The sequence below is a fragment of the Homo sapiens genome, chromosome 8 (genome assembly GCF_000001405.40).
Source record: "Homo sapiens chromosome 8, GRCh38.p14 Primary Assembly".
Taxonomy (NCBI): domain Eukaryota; kingdom Metazoa; phylum Chordata; class Mammalia; order Primates; family Hominidae; genus Homo; species Homo sapiens.
The window spans coordinates 11,565,118-11,571,117 of record NC_000008.11 but is presented as its reverse complement, the minus strand read 5'-3'; the positions used below and the strand labels follow the sequence as shown (position 1 = coordinate 11,571,117).

At 51.6% G+C, this 6,000-nt stretch overlaps 1 annotated feature.

The window, feature by feature from the left end:
- Nucleotides 3,009–4,208: an enhancer, noted in NCBI's record as "P300/CBP strongly-dependent group 1 enhancer chr8:11424419-11425618 (GRCh37/hg19 assembly coordinates)". NCBI's record gives its function as "activates an origin of replication core promoter dependent on BRD2, BRD4, P300/CBP, MED14 and CDK7 cofactors, with strong dependence on P300/CBP, by STARR-seq in HCT116 cells {active_cell/tissue: HCT116}" and the evidence as "EXISTENCE:reporter gene assay evidence [ECO:0000049][PMID:35650434]".

Below are 6,000 nucleotides of genomic sequence, written 5' to 3'. Positions count from 1 at the left end.
CCCTCAAGTGCTGGCCATGGAGCTGAGCTCAGGATTCAAGGACTGCCCCCCATCATTTCTAGGGATGTGATGTGGGTGACAGGCTCAGCATCTCTGCCTTTCTTCTGTCCAGACTGAACAGAATGAAGATGCCACACCTTCAAGAGGCTGCTGTGAGGAGCCCCCGAGGCAAGGCACGGGAAACCCCTTTGTAAAATGTGGAGTGCGGTGGCTATGCCATTCTGGAAGAAAGGCTGCGAGCAGTGGGTCCCTGCTCTGCCATTTATCAGCTGTGTGGCCTTGGGCCAGTTACTTACCCTCTCTGGGCCCTAGCTTCCTCCTCTGTAAAATAAGGATCAGACACCTACCTCTTGGGATTGCTCGAGTCATCAGCACTTTACACTCGATACACGGTGACTGAGTATGAAGGTCTCTTTAGCTGTCTAAAGATTCTAAGAATGGTATGAAGTTTCAACCTTTAAGTCGGGTGACTCTGCAATCCCAGCGATGTTGTGGAGAGTGCCCACAGCCCAGGTCAGGGGCCCGGTGCTTCTGCTTTCCCTGATCTGCCCGTGGGTCGTAGTGGCGCTGCCTTCTGCTCTCTGTCCTTGCCACCTGAGACTGAGTGCCTGGAGCTAGGCATGGTTCTTGCCTGCTTTGCCTGAGATGCTGTGTGTCCAGGCAGTCTTTGTGAACATTTTGGGGTGGGGGTCTGAGCACGTGCCCACCAGGATGCAGACCCGCCTGGAGATGTCTGGTGAGGATATCGACCAACTGCCCCTTGACCCTGAGGCAGCACAGGGCAGACCTGCCCAGGGGAAGAAAGAAAAAGGTTCTTTCCCAAGAACAGAGCCAGGGGCTCTTCCAGAGGGAAGGACTCCTGCCCCCAGCGTGAGCGGGCTCCTCCCAGCCAGGCCCTGAAGCGAACATCCCTGAACCCCTAAAACGCGTGGGGGCATTTCAAAGAGGGCTGAGGTGCCATGGGGACCAAAGTTAAAAACATGCAGTTATTGCTCTTAAAACAATACCACAAGCCTCACACCCACTAGGATGGCAACTATTTCAAGCAACAGAGAATAACAGAGGAGGCAGAGAAACTGGAAGCTGTGAACAGCTGATGGGAATGCGGAATGGCGCAGCCGATGGGAAAAGCAGCGTGCGGCTCCTCAAAACATTCAACCTAAAGTTGCCATCTGGTCCAGCAGGTTCATGGAGACATTTGCACACCAGGCTCACAGCAGCATTATTCCCAACAGCCAAAAGGTGAAAACGACCCAAGTGTCCATCGACTGACGAATGGATACGCAAAACGTGATGTATCCATAAAGGGGAGTCTTATTCAGCCTTAAAAAGGCAGGAAACTCTGACATGTTACAACATAGATGAACCTTGAAGACACTATGCTAAGAGCAATGACCCAGTCACAAAAGGACAAATACTGCACGATTCTTGAGGTCCCTAGAGAATCAAATTCTTACAGACAGAAAGTAGAGTGTGGGTTGCCAGGCTGGGGGCGGGAAGGAATGGGGCGTTAGCATTTAATGGAGACAGAGTTTCAGTTTGGGAAGATGAGAAAGTCCTGGAGATGATGGTGTGGCACCTACACAGCAGTGTGAATGTACCACTGCATGGAACACTCAGCAAATGCCTATGCTTGCAAATTTTATGTTATGTGTATGTATTTTACTACCTTAAAAAAAAAAAAAAACAAACGACATCATGAGTCCTGGGGAAACTCGAGTCCTGGTTTTTTAGTATCTAATGGAATAAGTGGTGGAAACTTTTATAAAATATTTCATTAAAGGCGGTTTTATCTTTGGAGGAAATCCGGATTTTCATACGTGAATTTGCTTAAGACTGCTCTACTGGTGTTCCAGCTTACCTTTGGGTCTTTCTTATTTGTAGATGGCACATTTATTCACACCAAATATTCTTGATTTTGAAACTAATCAATGAGTCACAAGAATACATGGATACCTACCACATGGCAGGTAGAGTGAAAGAAACAAAAGCAGAAATAACACATATGTTTATGTGTTATGGTTCAAGGGCTGAACTGTATCTCCTCTTCTCCACATTCCTATATTGAAACCCTAACCCAACTGCCTCAGAATGTGATGGTATTTGGAGATAGGCTTTTTAAAAATCGATGAGTAAAGTGAGGTCGTATGGGTGGGCCCTAGTCCAATATAACTGGTATTCTTGAAGAGGCAACGAGGACATAGACACACACAGAGGGACGACCACATGAGGACACAGGGAGAAGGTGGCCATCTATGAGCCCAGGAGAGAGACCTCAGGAGAAACCGACCCTGCACGCAGCTTAATCTGAGGCTTCCAGCCTCCAGAACTGTGAGGCAATCAACTTTTAAGTTTTCAGCCACTCGCCTGTGGTATTTGTTCCAGTAGTCCTAGGAAACGAATACACTATTCCATTTCCAAAATACTCCTTAAATCCTTAAAGCAACCCTGCAAGGAGGCCTCACTGCCCTCTGTTTATAGACAAGGAAATCAGGGTTCAGAAGAATGGAGTCACTCACTCAAAGTCACACAGCCGGAGAGTGCCAGGCTGCCTAGGTCCTTGGCTTCTGACCCCGTGTGCTCTTTTGGAAGTTCTGCCCCGAGGGTGGGAAGAGCGTGAAAGTACAGGAGTCCCCCTTATCCACAGGGAATACATTCCAAGACCCCCAAACTATCTAGATGCTCTGAACTGCAGATAGTACCGAACCTTGTATACACTGTTTTTCCTATACACACATCTCTATGATGCAGTTTAATTTATGAATTAGGCACAGTAAGAGATTAACAACAATAACTAAGAATAAAATAGAAAATTATAACAATATACTAGAATAAAAGTTCTGTGAATGTGGCCTCCCTCTCTCTCTCTTTCTCAAAATATCTTATTGCATGTAATATTTTGGGACCGCAGTTGACCGCTGGTAACTGAAACCTTAGATAAGGGGCCACTACTGTAGACAAAACAGATCACAGCAGCAAAGAGAGAACAAAGCTCTGAACCGCAGAGCTAGAAGCCCGAGGCAGGGGAGGTATGGCAGAGGCCAGGGAAGCCCGGCTAAGGGGGCTTAGCTGGGATCGGGGTCTCTGGAGGCCCTTCTTTGGGGGTTATTATAGCCCTAACGAGAGCTAACATTTCTGAGCATTTAGCATAAGACAGGCACTCTGGTAAATGCTTCCTGTGAGCTGCTTTGTGCAAACCTCGCAGCAAGCCTACAATGCAGGTGTCAGCATTGTGCCCATTGCACAGATGAGGAAACCGAGGCTCAGAGAAATGAAGCAAAGTCTCCGAGGTCAAACATCCGGGGAGAGGAAGTGCCTGATTTTGAAAGGTCTGTCTGACTCAGAGACCCTGCTGTTGCTCACTTCACAGCAACGCTGAGGGTGTGTCCTGGCTCTGGAATGGAGGAATGGAGGCAAAGGGAAAGGCACCAGCTCCTTCACAGGCAAGGAGAGGTCTGGGGTTCCCAGACCTGGGCTGCCCCCTTCACCAGAGCTCTGGGTGTCGGGACAACAATCATATGCCCCGGATGGCTCAGGCATGGGCCCCCCGGCAATGTCCTCATATGTGCAGTTTTATGGTTGGGAGAAGGCCGACTCCAGGCCATGAAATACCCTCCCTCCCACAAGGAAGGCAAAGCCCTAGAGCAGGAAATGAGGCTTTCGTCCATTCATGCACTCTCTGCCTCCTCTCTCCATCTCTCTTCCCCCCCACACTCTCACATTTCACTTTCTGGCTGAGAATTGACTGAGCTCCTCATCCTTAATAGACATGTTTATGTCCCGAACAAGAACACACCAGGATACAGGTTCAGCTCCGGGCACCATTCGGGCAAGTGCGACCCCTCGTGGAGAAACTCTCCCTCATCCTTCAAGATCTCCAGCCTCACCTTTCCCAGGAAAACCAAGCCGGAGGAGAGGTGGGTGTCCTTGCCTGAGAACGTGCCTCTGAGAATGTGCTGGTCTTCTGGGTTTCTTTTCTAATTTCCGCAGGTTGCCACTTGCATACCAGAGCTGGAAAAAGCCACAGGCATCTGCTGGTCGTGGAGTTTCAGGACCTGAACATCAGCCTGGCCCCCAGGTACTTGGAGCCAGGCCCGCTGGGATGGAGCACTTCCGACCTCACACAGCCCTGCCCAGGGGTTCCCAATCCGGGATCGACATTAGCACCAGCTGGGGATGTTTAAAGTATGCTGAGGCCCTGGATAAAGTATGCTCACCCGGAACCCTGGCACTGGCACTTTTTAATGTGCCTCCCCCCACTCCAACCCCATTCTACCCAAGGTGACCCTAGTGAGTAGCCAGGGCTGAGAACTGCTGGTCCAAGCTGGAAATGCTTGCACAGGAATCACTCAGGGTGCTTCTAAAAGAGGACGTTTCCGGATCCAGACTTCAACCCACTGAATCAGAATCTCCGTGGGAGACGGAGAGGCTTTCGGCCTGCATTTTATTTTATTATTTATTATTACTTTTGTTTTTTGAGACTGAGTTTCATGCTTGTCGCCCAGGCTGGAGTAAAATGGCACGATCTTAGCTCACTGCAACCTCTGCCTCCCAGGTTCAAGCGATTCTCCTGCCTCAGCCTCCCGAGTAGCTGGGATTACAGGCACCTGCCACCACGCCCAGCTAATTTTTGTATTTTTAGTAGAGACGGGTTTCACCATGTTGGCCAGGATGGTCTCAAACTCCTGACCTCAGGTGATCCACCCGCCTTGGCCTCCCAAAGTGCTGGGATTACAGGCATGAACCACCGCGCCCAGCCTGCATTTTAAAACAAAAACTTGAGGTGACGTTGGCAAAGCACTGGGTGACTCATGTTTAGGGAATGACAGTGGGGTCCAGGGAGGTGAGGAGACAGTCTCAAGCCTTGCAACTCGAGGATAGCTCCCGAGTCATGGCAGCCACTTCAGAGGGGCTGCAGGGGCCGGGGAGGTGGTGTCCTGGCATATGGTCCCTGCTCATGAGGTGAAGGAAGGGCTCATTCCTCATCCCGTGATCTTAGCTCCCTCCTCAGCCCCACCCCACAGGAGCCCCAGCAGGTCAGCTTGGCCCTCCCATTCATGAGTCCCAGTGGCCCCCACTAGCAGGAGCCCCCACTGACCTTGTTGTCCCACGCTCCTGTTTACCCCCCACCAGCCACGTCCCCTGGCACCAGGTTCTTGGCCAGGCAGTTTCCTCCTTCCAGCACCCCGGTGTGACCAGGTCCTGGGGGAGATCAGAGGCCCCACAATTTCTGGAGCCCCACTGTATGGGACAGAGTTCCACCTCTAGGTTCCTCCACCTCCAGCATCCTGGAGCAGCTGGGGACACCTGTCCCTCTGGGCTCCTCAGCGAGGCCCCAGGTCTGCCCCCCCCCAGACCTCCTTAAAGTGCTGTGCTCCCATCCAGTGCTTGCCCACGGTCAGTGGGGGCTGTGAGGGCCAAGAACTGGCTGAGAGGAGCCTGGTGGCATGGAGTCTGTCCGTTTCATCATCTGCAGAAACAGCTTCGTGGTAGTAATGGTGATGCACCCACCCCAGGCTGCTGGAGAATCCACACACTGTAGGTGATCACGCTATGTGAACCGCATCCTTCCTGGCTGGTGGCTGTCCTCACCCAGCACCCCTGCAGCGACTGCCCCCTTTCTGGGGGTTCTCCCACCAAGTCCCCACTCTAATCCTCTGCTGCCCAGACCTGCAGTTTCCCCCACCTACGCCCCCATCCTACCGCTTAAGAGGGGTGTGTGTGAGCACTTTCTGCCTCAGTTTCCACCTCTGTACTGCGGGTGGGTATAGTCCTACCTCGGGGTGTTCTCACAGTCAGAGGAGTCAACACTGACAAGCTGGGTGGCAAGGGTTCAAGGGGAAGGAAGCGGGTGCACAGGTGGAGCCAGGGGGCTTTCAAGTGGGGGACCCAGAACGGTAGGTACAAGTCTCTGCACTTTCCTCTACACCTACGGCATGTACAACAGGCAGCGAGAACCTGGATGCAAAAGGTGGGCTTCGGTTAATGATATTTTATCAG